The 13,747-nt window shown below is 52.2% G+C and overlaps 1 protein-coding gene across 12 annotated transcripts in view, besides 3 other annotated features; it reads right to left on the minus strand.

Annotated features, from left to right (window-relative positions):
* Nucleotides 860-13,747, minus strand: part of PHF19 (PHD finger protein 19) — a 48,478-nt gene continuing 35,590 nt past the window's right edge. For 8 of the 12 annotated variants that reach the window (XM_017014612.3, NM_001286840.1, NM_015651.3 and 5 more), the window contains 9 exons: nt 12,079-12,174; nt 11,237-11,305; nt 10,919-11,039; nt 9,258-9,325; nt 7,797-7,958; nt 7,127-7,214; nt 6,298-6,383; nt 5,299-5,394; nt 860-3,495 (listed from right to left, as the gene is read on the minus strand). In XM_017014612.3, coding sequence (XP_016870101.1) covers nt 3,153-3,495; nt 5,299-5,394; nt 6,298-6,383; nt 7,127-7,214; nt 7,797-7,958; nt 9,258-9,325; nt 10,919-11,039; nt 11,237-11,305; nt 12,079-12,174 — 1,129 coding nt within the window. In that variant the 3' untranslated portion in view covers nt 860-3,152. Of the gene's footprint in view, nt 3,496-5,295; nt 5,395-6,296; nt 6,384-7,126; nt 7,215-7,796; nt 7,959-9,257; nt 9,326-10,918; nt 11,040-11,236; nt 11,306-12,078; nt 12,175-13,747 lie in introns of those variants that run through there. The other 4 variants (NR_104601.1, XM_047423210.1, XM_011518515.3 and 1 more) reach the window with 4 other exon arrangements.
* Nucleotides 944-1,445: an enhancer, noted in NCBI's record as "H3K4me1 hESC enhancer chr9:123618013-123618514 (GRCh37/hg19 assembly coordinates)". NCBI's record gives its function as "activates a minimal SCP1, AML or CMV promoter by ChIP-STARR-seq in primed H9 embryonic stem cells {active_cell/tissue: H9 hESC(primed)}" and the evidence as "EXISTENCE:reporter gene assay evidence [ECO:0000049][PMID:30033119]".
* Nucleotides 1,446-1,945: an enhancer, noted in NCBI's record as "H3K4me1 hESC enhancer chr9:123618515-123619014 (GRCh37/hg19 assembly coordinates)". NCBI's record gives its function as "activates a minimal SCP1, AML or CMV promoter by ChIP-STARR-seq in primed H9 embryonic stem cells {active_cell/tissue: H9 hESC(primed)}" and the evidence as "EXISTENCE:reporter gene assay evidence [ECO:0000049][PMID:30033119]".
* Nucleotides 13,673-13,742: an enhancer, noted in NCBI's record as "active region_28898". NCBI's record gives its function as "activates an Ori minimal core promoter by ATAC-STARR-seq in GM12878 lymphoblastoid cells {active_cell/tissue: GM12878}" and the evidence as "EXISTENCE:reporter gene assay evidence [ECO:0000049][PMID:35858748]".

The following is a 13,747-nucleotide window of genomic DNA, read 5'->3' on the forward strand; positions in this document are numbered from 1 at the left end:
CACTAGAACCCAGGTCTTTTGACACCTGGTGCCACTTTTCATTCCATTCCATTAATTATAGCCCAGAGAATAACCACCACCACCCCCAAGTCCCATTGTGGTTTTATTCTGAGGACAGATAAAAGGTTGAAGCTGATGGAGTGGTAGAAAGAAGTGGGAGCCATAGTGAATGAAGACGTTTAAGGGCAGATATTAACACCACTGAGTCCTTCATTCGGGATTACAGGTTACACTTTACCCCTCAAACTGTAGAATTCAGTGGAATCCATGGCCTTTACCTCTCTATAGATGACCTTTTTCCTACCCCTTTACATCTCCTGTTTTTTTCCTCTCCAAACTGCCCTAAATTTAGAGGTTTATTTTGAAGTAATAATCAGTCACACACAGCAAAGTCTCTCCCAACACATGGGGAGCAGATGTGCTGGGATTATCACTGCCATTTGAAGGGTGATAAAACTGAAGGAAAGGAATCTGACTAAAGTGGCACAGGTTAGAACTAGCAGAGTCAGGTCTAGAACTCATTTCATATTTCTAGAATTGTGTGATGATGTACTGATAAAGTTTTACGATGCCCGGATCTAAGTATTATAATAGTGTCAATTTCTAAGTTCATTTTCCATCTTTTACCTCTCAGTGGCACTCAACTAATGTTTTTTGCCCCCAAAGGTCGGGTACTCACAAAAGATTCCATATTCTCTCTGGCAGTAAGGGTGAGAATGTTGCTGGCAGTGGTAGGAGTGGCAAGGTGGCCAGAGGACAGGGTCCTGCCATTCCTCCTCAGCCTCCAGTAAACCAAGTGCAAAAGCCAGAGCCAATTCCTTCTGCCACCCAGCAGCTAATTCACTATAGGGAAGACAAGTGATTGTTCAAAGGGAGGTTTTAAATCATAAATCAGACACATTAATTATAACTTTAACAAATGTTATTAAAAGCAGCAATTAAAAACCATGAATCTTTTTGAAGGTGCAGAGGGTTATAAGGTCAGTTGGCAGTAATGCAGCTATTATCTGGTATGAATGAAATGCTGGGGTGGGGAGTCAGGGTGACCTCATTAGGCCTTGTGCTATCTTCCCAGGTGGTGCAGACACCCCCTCCCTCCTTTTCCCTCTCCAGGCCCACAGCCTCCCCAGAGCCCAGGTAGGGAAGGTCCAGATGTACTATAACAGGATTGCTCATCCCAGGCTATCTCAGAAGTCTGGAAAGCAGGCCTAGAAGGTTGCTGGGCTCTCTGAAGCCAGGCAGGAAGCTACAAATTGGATCCCAGTTCCCACAGCACCCCTGGGCTAGGGGTTGGCTTCTCAGCTCCCCTTCCACCTGGCCCTAGTTGGCCCCTGTGGCAGCAGCTGTGGGGCTGAAAAGGGGGAAGAACTGGGTCCAACGCCAGCTCGTCTATGCCTGGGCTGTGCCAGGGAAGCAGAGGAAAGTGGGTGGGCTGTGCACAGGAGGTGAGGTCCCCCTTAAAAGGCACTGTGGGAGCTGAGGTCTAAGATGGGGGGGCATCTAAACTATCTCAGGGACCCCCTGAACGCTCACAGGTAGAGAGGGGTCAGGCCTAGCAATGGAAAAACAGCTCCTGCAGGCCTGCTGCCCCGCCAGTGCCTCTTGCTGTACTACCACCTTCGCCTTCCTGCTGGCGGCCTGCAAAACCAGCCAAGCTGGAGGCCACAGCAGCAGTTGGCAAGGCTGGTCCCCATCTGGTGCCCACCCTCCACGTCAAGGCACTTTTGTCCATTTTCCAATCAAGTGAGTCAGTTTCTAATATCTCTGGAAGCAGCAAAACATCAGGGGTCCTCTTCCCCCTCCCAATTTTGGTTTCCCTCCAGATGAGGCAGAATTTGAATGTTGGTTCCAAAAATTCTCTTTCAAACCCCCACTGGCAAGGGCTTCCCTTTGAGGGAACCAAATGATGCAGGCTCTTTAAAAATTTCAACCTATCCCAAAAAGTGATTGTCCATTTCAGGGCAGGGCAAGGGATATGAAAGAGGGTGAGTCCCCTGTGCTTCCCTATGGGACCAATGCTGGTTGATGGGCTGAAAGAAGGAGCGGCCACTGAGCTTTCACATTTAGTTGCAGCACCTGGGCCCTGGAAGTGGGCCAAGGGAAAGCCAAGGGAGGAGCCAGCAGGCCCAGAGGGACGGTGTGGCTCTGTGTGTGTACACTTGGGCATGTGGTGGTGTGGCCGTGTGGGGTTGTCTGCATGCCTAGAGCTGAAAGTACAACACATGTGGATGGAAGCTTGTGCGAGTGGGTGTGTATTGTCTGCTGTGTGGTGTCTGGTGGGTCTGGGGATGGGAGGCACCAGAAACAGGTTTAGCAAGACATGGTTTCCCTCCCACCACTACCACCCCCCACCCCCGTCCCCCAGGTTTGGAAGGATGCCTCCATTCCAGCAAGGCCAGGCCCAGCTCTATGGCGACTGAGGGGGTGAGGCCAGAGAACAGAAGACTTCTGGGACCTCCAAAGCTGACATTGGCAGCCTTCACTCTCAGCCTTAATACCTGGGCCCTGGTGCTGGTGCCTTCTGAGGCAGACCCAGCCCTTTACTCTTCAGATCCTCACAGGCTTTCACAGGGGCTCTCTCCCATCCCACCACCTCTCTCCGAGGGTAGTGGGGAGTGGCAGGAAAGTGGAAGAGAAAAGCACTGAGCAGCATCCTCTTATCCACCTTCTCCCATGCTCTCTCAAAGGTGCCTGTTATGTAGTCCCTGGGAGGACTGGCTGCCCCACGGGTCACGTGTGAAGGGGATCCAGTGGAGGGACAGCTGTGCACACACAGGATGTGCGAACACACCCAGAAAGGGGCGAGAGAGGTCAAGGCACACAACTGGGGACAAAGACCTGGGCCTCAGGAGGAAGGGTCCCAGCGCAGGGGACACAAGGTCAGAGAACAGATAAACAGAGTTTGAGGGGGTGTGGAGTGTGTAGAGACACAGGCACAGGGGTAACGAGCCTGAGGAGGCCCTGGAACAGAGCTGGTACAGCAGAGAGACGCAGGCCTTGGCCTGGCAGGCAGGCAGGCAGGGCATTCTGCCAGGCACTTGCAGCTCTGTCCTGCTTCCTTCTCCCACCCCAGCCTGGAGAAAGCTGGGGAGCCTATGGCTTCTGCTGCTCCTCCTTTGGTTTTCAGGACCCCTGGCACCCCCGGGGGCTAGTCAGTAAGGGGTGGTCCCTTCCCACTCCACCAGGTACTGAACCTTGCCCTCAGGTGTGACCCTCCGAGCCAACACCTGGTACTTCTCCCCACAGGCCAACCGCCCAGCTGCACCAAAGTAGTTGGTGATAGATGACTTGAGGTGGGACAGGGATGAGTCATCTTCACTGATGCTCTCAAATGTGTGGCTGTCAATGCCTTCGTCTGGCCGCTCGGGGACTGAAGCCCCCTCTGCACTGCTGTCCGAGGGGCAGCGTCCATCCAGCTCAGCTGCCCACCGCTTTGCCCGCAGGGGCATGTATGCCTTGGCTGCCAGCTTCCTCTTTCGGCTGCCCACTGTCCATCTGTATCAGAAGTGGGAGAGGAAGATGATGAGAATGAGGTAGAACAATCACAGTAAATTCCTCTCCCTGAGTCCTCCCCTCAGTACCAGGAAAGTGGAAGAGAAAAGCGCTGAACAGCATTCTCTTATCCATCTTCTCCCATGCTCTCTCAAAGGTGCCTGTTATGTAGTCCCTGAGATAATCTATGCCTTGGGCATAGATTATCTCACCAGATCCTCACAAGAGCCCTGCGAGGAGGGAAACTGAGGGTCCAGAGGAGAAAACCAGGTAGGGAGTGGCAGAGCCAGGATTCAAACGTAAGAACGTCCAACTCCAAAGCATATGCTCTTAGAGCTAGGATCCCGGCACTGCAAAAGCACAAGAGCACCATTCTCTGAGCCTCCTGAGGCCATGCAGTGCAGAGGCCCTGCTTATCCCACCTTGCCTCTCACCAGACTGGTGGAACAAGATAGGTCACATAGGGCTGGGGGTTAGGGACTGAAGGACCCTGTACCCTAGAGCCTGGATGGAGAGACTGACAGACATCACACACACACACACACACACACACACACACACACACACACACACACGGGTGTTAGAGAAATGGACACACAGACACACAGGACAAGGCACAGATTCAGATGCTTAGAGACAGAAACCAAGACCTGAAGTGCTGGTGAAACCAAAGAAACAGGAAGAAATAGGCCAGGCATGGTGGTGCACGCCTGTAGTCCCAGCTACTCCGGAGGCTGAGGCATGAGAATCACTTGAGCCTGGCAGGCGGAGGTTGCAGTGAGCTGAGATCATGCCACTGCACTCTAATTTGGGCAACAGAGTGAGACTGTCTCAAACCAACCAACAAACAGGAAGAAAGAAAAAACAGGCAACAGCAGAGGACACCTAGACAGATGTCAAGAGACACAGACTCCAAGACAGACCTCTACAGGCATTATACCATTGTCCTTTTTTTTTTTTTTTTTTTTTGAGATGGAGTCCTACTCTGTCACCCAGCTAATTTTTTTTGTATTTTTAGTAGAGGCGGGGTTTCACCATGTTGGCCAGGCTGCTCTTGAACTACTGACCTCAGGTAATCTGCCCACCTTGGCCTCCCAAAGTGCTAGGATGACAGGCATGAGCCACCGTGCCTGGCCAGGCATTATACTTTTAATTCTACTTTTGCAAGGGCCTCAAGTATCTTAAAATACAGTGCAGCTTGAGTGCAGAGGAAAGCCCTGTGCTCGACCACTCCCCGTACTGCTGAGGACCAGCTGTTGCCAGACCAGTTGTACTGGAGATAGGCCCCCAGGGATTTCTGTCCCCACTCCTAAATCTTCCACCCTGCAGGATGCCATCTTCTGTCAGGCTTCTAAATAAACGGCTCTTTCCCTTAGAGACCCCGGAAGACAGGCACCATATTCAGACAGCCAAGAATCAAGGTCAGGGAACTCTGTAGTCCAAGAGGCAGAGAGACACCCAAGCTCATGGCACGTGGAGGCCAAAAGTGAAAGAAACTCTGGTCCAACAACCCCAGAACTGGAATCGTCCAGTGAGAGGTGTGTACAAGCTTCTGCAGCAGGTGAAGCATTCCAAAGGGATGGAACCACGGGAGGCTGAATGCCTATACTTAGGTCCCATCTAAAGCCCCGTGACTCAGAACCAGAGGGTCCGAGAGCCAGACTCACAATTGCAGAAGGCCAGGTACTCCCCGCCAGAGACTGAGACACATAGAATGAGCCACACATTACAGAAGTGGGAGGTGGAGGGGCTGAGAGGAATGATGGTCCTTGCAAAATGTGAAGGCCAGACCTCTAGGAAGCTCACCTGGAGTCATAGGAGAGGCTGGTGGAGGCAGAGCCAGAGGTGCTGGCAGCGTCGGTGGAGTCGACATCTGAGAAGAAGGTCTGGCCTGAGCTGGCACTGAGAGGGGCAAGACCGTGAGCCTGCTGGTGGCCCGGCCCAGCAAGTTCCTGCCAACCTGGCCCGCAGGTTCCCCTAACATGCATCCTTCATCCCAGTGGAGGCCCGTCTTCCCACAGCTGAGCTTCCCACCACCACACCTGTCTGTTTCCTACCCAGCCACCCTTCAAAGTCCAAGAAGTCAAAAAAACCTCCTGGAGCACCCTCCCCTGGCGGTGACGTAAGCACTGGTGTCAATAACTCGAGCGTGATCCAAGGCACCTGTGCAACACTTCACAGGTCAAAAGTGCTTTCATTTGCATTATCTTGTTTGAGGAAAAGAGCTGAGGAGGTTCAGAGAGGTTAAGGGATTTAGGTAAAACTACATAGCTAGTACTGATAAGCAGGGTCTGGAGTTCAGGTCTGACTCTAAAGCCCTCCTCTGTGTCCTCAGGAAAATACTAAATGACCTTTAATAATTTGGAAAATAAAATGATGGAAGATGCAGTTCCTCCCTTGGACATACTTAAGCATGGGGTGCTATGGAACTACAAAGGAGGGCGTCCAGCACAGCCTGGGGAGGGTTAGTAAAGCCTTCCTGGAAGAAGCAGGGTCCTGAGTTTTCAGATGGGCTAGGGCAAGGCAAAGGGTATCTCAGGCAGAGGGAGCAATACGAGCAAAGATGAGCAAGCATCAAACAGCATGGTGAGTGTGGATAACCATGGGGCAAGGTGGGGAGGGCTGGAGAAGAGGGGAGGGCTGTGGTGCTCTGGGAACAGGGATGTTATGCTGAAAGCTCTACTGCAAAAAGCCCCTTCAGACAGACCTGCACAGCAGGGATCCTTTTAACTGAGGGCTTGGCTTTCTGCTTGGTTCCCTCCCTGTCTCCAGAGCAGACCTCTGTGCTAGGTCCCTCACTGATACCTTTTTAAACTTTGAATTTCATCCAGCGTGAAGTCAAATATGCTAGCCAGGTGGTGGTTGGTGCTCCAGGCTGAGGTGAAGTCACTCTGTGGACACAGGAAGGAGAGAGGAAGGGTCAGACAGCGAGTATCAAATCCACCTCCCACACAGGCTGCCTCCTATCCAGCCAGGGCCGCTGAGGGCTGGGCCCTCCCTAGGGTAAGACCATCACCTTTATTCCAAGTCCTGACCAGGGAGCCAAAGTCATCCCAGTTCTAGCCCTGCCTTTGTCTCTAGCTGACTGTACGACCTTCACGTCTCTGGACCTCAGTTACTTCAACTGCAAAATGGGGACAATAACCCCTGCCTTGCTTCACTCTTACAGATGTCAGGAAGTGCAGTAAAATTAAATAATGCTTCTAAACCGCAAAGTGCTGGGACATGAGGCATTGCTAATACTACTGCCCACAGGGAGGGCTTCAGGGAGGTGGTGGGGTTACTGAAGGAGGAAAGAAAGTGCTCTGGAACCCTGGTTCCAGGCTGGGCTCTGCCACTTTGATGTGTGGCCTCAGGAAAGTCACTGCCCCACCCTTCCCTCAGTGTCCCTACCTGGACAGTGGGGACAAGAATATTACCTGCCTTTGCCCCCCAACTTTGGATTCCTGGGAGAACTTGGGGGGAGATAAAGCAGGGGTCTTAGAGTGCCTGGCTTAGCTGTAATAGGGACTGGCTTCTTTAAGGGACATGAGAGAGTCCTCTGGGCCTGGGGGACTTAGTTTTCGGCACAGGAAGCCCTAATATGTGCTGACCCTGCGTATGAAAATGGAGAGTAAGAAAACAAGGAACTAACACTGGGAATAGCATCTTCCAGCAAAAACTTTGATCTTTTTCTTCTATAAACTCGCCTTTTCTGCTGCTGGAATTCGTGAGGCAACAAACTGTGGAGACAGAAGAGGGAGAAGGTGGCCCCGTCAGAGCCTGAGGGCCCTAGGGTGGCCCAGAGGGAGGCGCCGCAGGGGCGGGGGTCACAGCAGTTGGGGAGACAGGCTCTGAACACAGCTGCACCTTCACAGGGAGGCCTGGGGAGGAGGGAGAGTCCTCAGGAGCAGTAGGGGTGGGAAGGTGTGGAGAAGGTATAGTGGGCAGAAAAAGAAAAGGTGCCTCCCCAGGCACATGCATCCAGATGCCCTGCCCCCCAGTGCCAGGATGAGGGGGCTCAGCTGAGCCAGGAGAGAGAGGGACCCCTCACACACCCTGCCTTCCCCTTCACCTCCTTGCCCAAGTCCTAATCCAGCAAGGCTGGGTCCTCAGATCTGGCTTTTCCTCCTTGCGAGGTAATAAGGGGGCTGTGGTGGTGAAAGGAGTTGGGGATCTGGGATCTGGGATCCCGCTCAGCCACTATCTAGCCCTCTCAGGGTCCTACAGCTGGGACTGGCTGGGTGCAGGTCCTCCTTGCTTGCTTGGAAGCAGAGAAACCGAGTTTGGCGGCAGCCCTGGCCCCTGGGTCCCCGAGCACTGACCCAGGCTTGCTCTTTCCTCTCTTACGCAGCTCAGAGGAGGCGCTGTTCTCATTTGGCAGCAGTCCTTTGTCAGGCAGCAGCTTCCCTGGCGGGTTGGGTGGGACGCGGATGCGCAGGCGGAAGATGCACTTCTTCTTCTTGATCTCCTTGCCGCAGAGGAACCTGGGGGTGGGCAGTGGGAGGAAGAAGCTCTGGAGTCTGTCAGTCCATCCTCCTGGGGAGTGGGGTCAAGCATGACACAAGCCTCTCTGCCTCCTTGGACCCAGAGCTAAAATCCGGATGGTCTCTGCAGATGCTGACTTCCTCAAAGCCCATGGGATGCGGGGTTCCAGGTAGCAGCTGAGAACACGGCTGGTGCCTCCTCCCTGTGCTTCCTCCTGCATGAGTGTGGTTCTTGCTGCTCTTCTCCCTTTTGTTTGCCTCAACCAGCCCCAAGGCCACCTCCTGCAGGAAGCCCTCCTCCAGCTTACAGTGGAACTCCTATGGTCAAGATACTGGAATCTACTTCATTCTGTTCTCTGGTTTCCCCAGGAGACTGAAAGCAACACCGGCTGGGCTCCTCTGAGGCTGCAGAAGTGACTTAGACACAGCCCTACCCTCTTTAGTACAAGAGGCCACCTGCCCTCCCAATAGAGGACTGTCCATTGGGAGGGCAGGTGGCCTCTTGTACTGAAGAGCAGAGCTTTGTCTGGGCCCTAAACCATGAGAATGTGGAAGAGAGAGTGGATAATTCTACCCAGAGGTGTCTGGAAGAGTTTCAGCGATGAGGACCTTATTTTATTCCCCACCATGACCTCAGCACCCAGACAGGCCCGACATAGAACAGCAACTCAATGAATACTTGTTGATGGAACGAATGAGTAAAAAAGACTGAGGCACATCCTAGACAAAGGGCAGAGCATGAGTAAAAGTGCCAGGTAGGAAACCAAGGACTCAGGATGGCTGGCACCCAGAATACAGAAAGCAAAGGGACAGCGGCAGAGGACGCGGGCACAGCCTGGTCTTAAAAGGCCTTGAGTGCCAGGTTCAGGAGGCTGGGCATGCCTCTGTGGTGTAGTGAGGGACATGGCCAGCTGTGTGTGCTGAGAACCCTGGATGGGAAGACAGGGGCTGAGGGATGTCTTCCACCCGAGGATGTAGCCCACCCGAGATGATGCACCCATCCCTCAGTGCCTGGCCCCCAAGGCCTAGATGTCTAGAGCCGGAGGGGCCCTCAGAGAGCAGGGGTGCAGCCCCCCTACAGAGCTGAGCCCAGTACCAAAATACGGCAGGCTGCTGGGGTGGTTGGAGTGGCTGTGCAAAGGAGGTGGGGTACCCCCTGGATCTCGGAGAATGGAAATGATTCAGAGAGAAGGGGAGTATCAGAGAGGCAGGGAGCATAGCCTGAGCAAAGGCTATGAGGTAGGAAGGAATCTCACCTGTAGAGGGCCCCACCACACTCCCTCCCCTCCCTGCACGCACCGGCTTTTATAACTGTTCAGAGCGTTGAGGAGATGTGGTCCTCGATCTGTCACTGGGGTGCTGGTGAGCTGTGGGAGAGCAGGCCAGCAGGACATCAGACCCAGGCATATGGCGCATGGGGAGGCCCAAGCCCCTACTCCCTCCCTTCCATCTCCTGATGCTTCTGAGTCCTTCAGGTGAGGACCACTGACTCACTCCAGGATCTCAGAAAAGCCTTTTCACCTCTCCAAGTTCATTCCCATTTGTAAATGGAGAGAATACTTCCTGACCTAACTGTATTGAGAGCTTTAAAAAGTCCATACCCTTGACCCAGTAATGCTACTCCATGGAATCTATCATGGAATCTATATATCTGCAGATATAACACGAAATAGGAACAAAACTTTACATACAAAAAAAAATGGTGGCATTGTTTCTAATGGTGGACAAATGGGAAAGAAACTGCCCAACAGGAAGGAAACAAGTAAACTATGGTAGAAACCAATGCAGCCATGAAATTTGGCGGGCGCCTATAATCCCAGCTACTTGGGAGGCGGAGGCAGGAGAATCACTTGAACCCAGTGGGAGGAGGTTGCAGTGAGCTGAGACCGCGCCACTGCACTCCAGCCTGGGCGACAGAGGGAGACTCCGTCTCAAACAAACAAACAAACAAAAAATTTTATGAAGATTCTAATAATATGGAAAAGTATAATGTATACTAAAAAAAAGATTATTTAAAATTGTATATACTGTATCATTTAAACGATAAAACAGAAAAAGATATACATAGAAGAGAGTCGGAAAGGAAATGTACCCATGCATTAGTTCTAGTGATTTCTGGGTGGCGTGATATGGATTTTTTAAAAAGTATACTTCCTTATACTTTTTGGTACTTTAAAGATTTTCCACCACGAATATGTACAATTAAAAAAAATTAGAAAAAAGTTACTAAAAACCAACTCTACGTATCTTTTAAGGTTTTATAATATCTATTTTTTTAAAAAAATTATCAAATACTGTAAATGAAGATGTTATTACATGAAATATTTTGCAAAGCATAAAGGTTATTCTTTTTAAATTCCTTTTCATCAAAGAAAGATTTGGGGCAGTCCATAGAGAAGATGCCTCACTCTGTATGTGGTGGAGAGGATTCTAAGGATGTCATTAGGGAAAAGAAGACACAGCACCCCCGTGGGAGTGATTAGGGAGGCCCTGGCTCCAGCTCTGGCTCAGCCTCAAAGCTCTGCTGACCACGGGCAAGTCACTCTGCAACTCTGACATTCCGAAAGTCTCCGTTTGTAATTTCACTCCGTGGATCTGAGGCTTCCAAGGCCCTTGGTGACCCACTATTTAGCATAGGATCAGCAGTGGGCAGACCCACTCCATGTTGCAACCTAGCCAGGAAATCTGGAGTGGGTCAAACACTCAGCAGAGAGCTGTGTTCCAGCCAGACTTGATCTAGGGCCTCAGCTCCCCTCCACTGAACTGGGGAGGCCCCAACCTGCCCACTGCCAAAATCTGGGATTAGGAAGGCCCTTAAAGGACACAAGATCAGAGGCCTGGACTCAGGGATGCAGCAACTCAAGGGTGAGAGTTCAGAGACTTCCATCCTAGTCCTGCACTGCGTGGCCCTGGGCAAACCTCTCTGCCTCCTGCCACTGACATCCCACAACCCCACATACCTTGCCAAGCTGCAGGAGCTCCCAGTGGTGGTTGACAAAGGCCAGAATCTCCTCAAAGTCAAAGTACTTCTTCTTGCTCTGTACCCCCAGATTATAGAGGGCCAGGTGAACCACATCCACCCTGGGCAAGGGGGCAAGGAGGTGGGACCAGGTGAGGTGGCAGCCTGCTCAGCCAGGGTCACAGCTTTCTGGGTCCAGGCTGAGAGACAGGGGCAGGGTTGGGACCCAGTAGCTGGAAATGGAATTGTTCCAGGAGGGAGGAGGGAGGGGAGAAGCTGGGAGGAGCAGCGGTGGTTGGACTAAGCCCCACCCTCTCACCATCGCAGGGGCAGCCTCTCGATGTACTCTGGGCCCTGGTTACACACGGAGCAGAAGAACAGGTAAAACCTGTGGGTGGGTAGAGACGGGGGCCTATGGTGGGAGGGGCTCTGACACCCCCACCCCAGTCCAGCCCCTTGATCTCCTCATTCCCCACCTACCTTCCCATAATCTTCTCACTCCTAGGACTGCTGGCCACTGGGGGTCAAGGACAGGGCAGGACAGGGACTAAGAGATACCCCATATTCCTTCTAACCCATGCCCTCAATCTCCTTCCCAAATCTTGCCCTGAAGCGTGGCTGAGTTCACAGAGAGTGAGCTGAGCTAGGCTGGGCTGCCATGGTCACCCTCTTCCCCTCTGAGACAGCCACACACGCAATCACAAATGACATGAGACACCAACCAAAAGATGCATAACATCAGGTTTGACATCCATAAGGACTCCATTAGCTTTGCTCCGTCGGTTAGAAGCCACATTAAGCCATCCATTTCCCCAGTGACTCCCACAGCAACCCTGGGCAGGGCTGGCGCAAGGACTGTGTCATCCCTTCTTCCCCAGACACTTAAGAGACTAGGGCATAGGGAAGGCAGGCATTTATCTAAGGTACTCCAGAAATCAATGGCAACTAGGGATGTGGCCCAGCATACTTCTTTATTGCCTCCTGGCCCTGCATAGCTAGGGGATCCCCTACCTTGAGCTGCCTCCAGTAAACAGGTAGGCATACATTGTCACAGACCTCCTCTTGTCTGGAGCCTGGCAGTCAACCTGCAGGAGTTGTTGCTGCCATCCCTGCCCTCTCCCCACCACGCCCAAGGCCCACTTGGACCAAATTAGCACCTACCGGTCTCCAAACATCATGGGCTCATTGAGGCACTGGGTGCAGGCCTCGTGGAACCACTGCCTGCACCGGTAACATTGCAGCATCCGCAGGTACCATCTGGAGAGACAGAGGAGCCAAGGTCAGCCAGGACCACACCCCCAGTCAGGTATGAGCTTCGGCAACCTTTCCCAAGTTAAATTTGCCCTCCACTGGCAGAAAGGGAAGAGAATTCAGTTACTGAGCACTTAGGCTGTGCCAAGGGAGGACCTGAGAGTTGGACATATACTCTCATTTCACCTCACCACCTGGTAAAAGATGGGACACTGTCCCCATATTACAGATAAGTCACAGGTGAAATGGCTTGCCCTAGCTCACAGGCAAGTGGAGGATGGTGATTCAAATTCTGGTTTCCCTAACTTCAGAGGCTGTGCTCTCCTTGCCATGCCACAATGAAGCCACCATTTCTGGACTTGCTGCTTCCCAAACACTGCTGACAGGGAAACGTTTGCCTTGGAGACTTCACGGGAGAATAATGGTTTCTGTAAGCTGCACGGGGGCAAGACTACATCTGGCTTTTCTCACCTGCAACTGTATCTGGCCTATCATGGTCATCCAACAACTATTCATGGAATATGAAGAGCAAAATGCTCAATGCTTCATTGACACCTTGTCAGGTGAGCTCCAGGTTAAAACGCAGATTCCTTGGTCCACTGCAGACCTATTCAATCTTTGGGGAAGCCTCTGGGATGCATTTTTAACAAGCATCCTGTGCAACTCTGCCCATAGGCGTTGAGAAACACTGCATTAATGCAGGAAAGGTTTCCATAAGCATTTCTCCATCTGACAATACTTGGGGAAGCTCATGGGCCTGAAGTTAAGGTTAAGCCCATTTGAGAGATGAAGTAGTTCAAGCTTTGCCCAAGTTACCCAGCTGGAGCTTGGGGCTGAGATTCAGGACTTCAGGGGGTCCTGACGGCTGAACTTCCTGAGGGCAGAGACCCTCCCTCTTACATCTGTGGTTCCTTCCACAATGCCACGTGCACTCAGCCCAAAGAAGCAAGCTCAACTGCCATGGCTACATAGAGGCCCAGGTCGGCAAGGAAGAATCAAAGACTCTTGCCGCAGAGCCAGGACAAGAATTCCCTCCACAGTGGCCCCGACATAGCATGCCCCGCCCCCCGGCCCCCTACCCCTGCCTGATTGCACATCTCCAGGGAAAAGAATCTTTTCTATTTTTGGAGACAGGGTCGTCCTGCTTTGTCGCCCAGGCTGGAGTACAGTGGCATGATCACAGCTCACTGCAGCCTCCATCTCCCAAGCTCAAGTGATCCTCCCACCTCAGCCTCCTACGAAGCTGGGACTACAGGCGTGTGCCACCGCGCCAGGCGGGAAAAGGATCTTCATATCTCACCAGCAGCCGGTTCCACTGACTCTGACTGTGAAAAGGTTATCTTGACTTTCATGCATTAGTACCACCACTACCACCAGTAACAGCTCACATTTTTTTTGTTTACCAAATGCCAGGCACTATGAGAACCTCTATGTGAATTACGTAATTCATGCTCTGCTCATAATCACCACATGATGGGGAAACTATTCAGAGAGCTGAGGCTAAGGGGTTGCACAGCTGGTAAGGAGCAGAGCTAGGACGTGGACGTCCTGGGAGGATTCGCACTGTGTCCGGCCCAGG

Source organism: Homo sapiens, chromosome 9 (assembly GCF_000001405.40).
Source record: "Homo sapiens chromosome 9, GRCh38.p14 Primary Assembly".
In the NCBI taxonomy this organism is placed as follows: domain Eukaryota; kingdom Metazoa; phylum Chordata; class Mammalia; order Primates; family Hominidae; genus Homo; species Homo sapiens.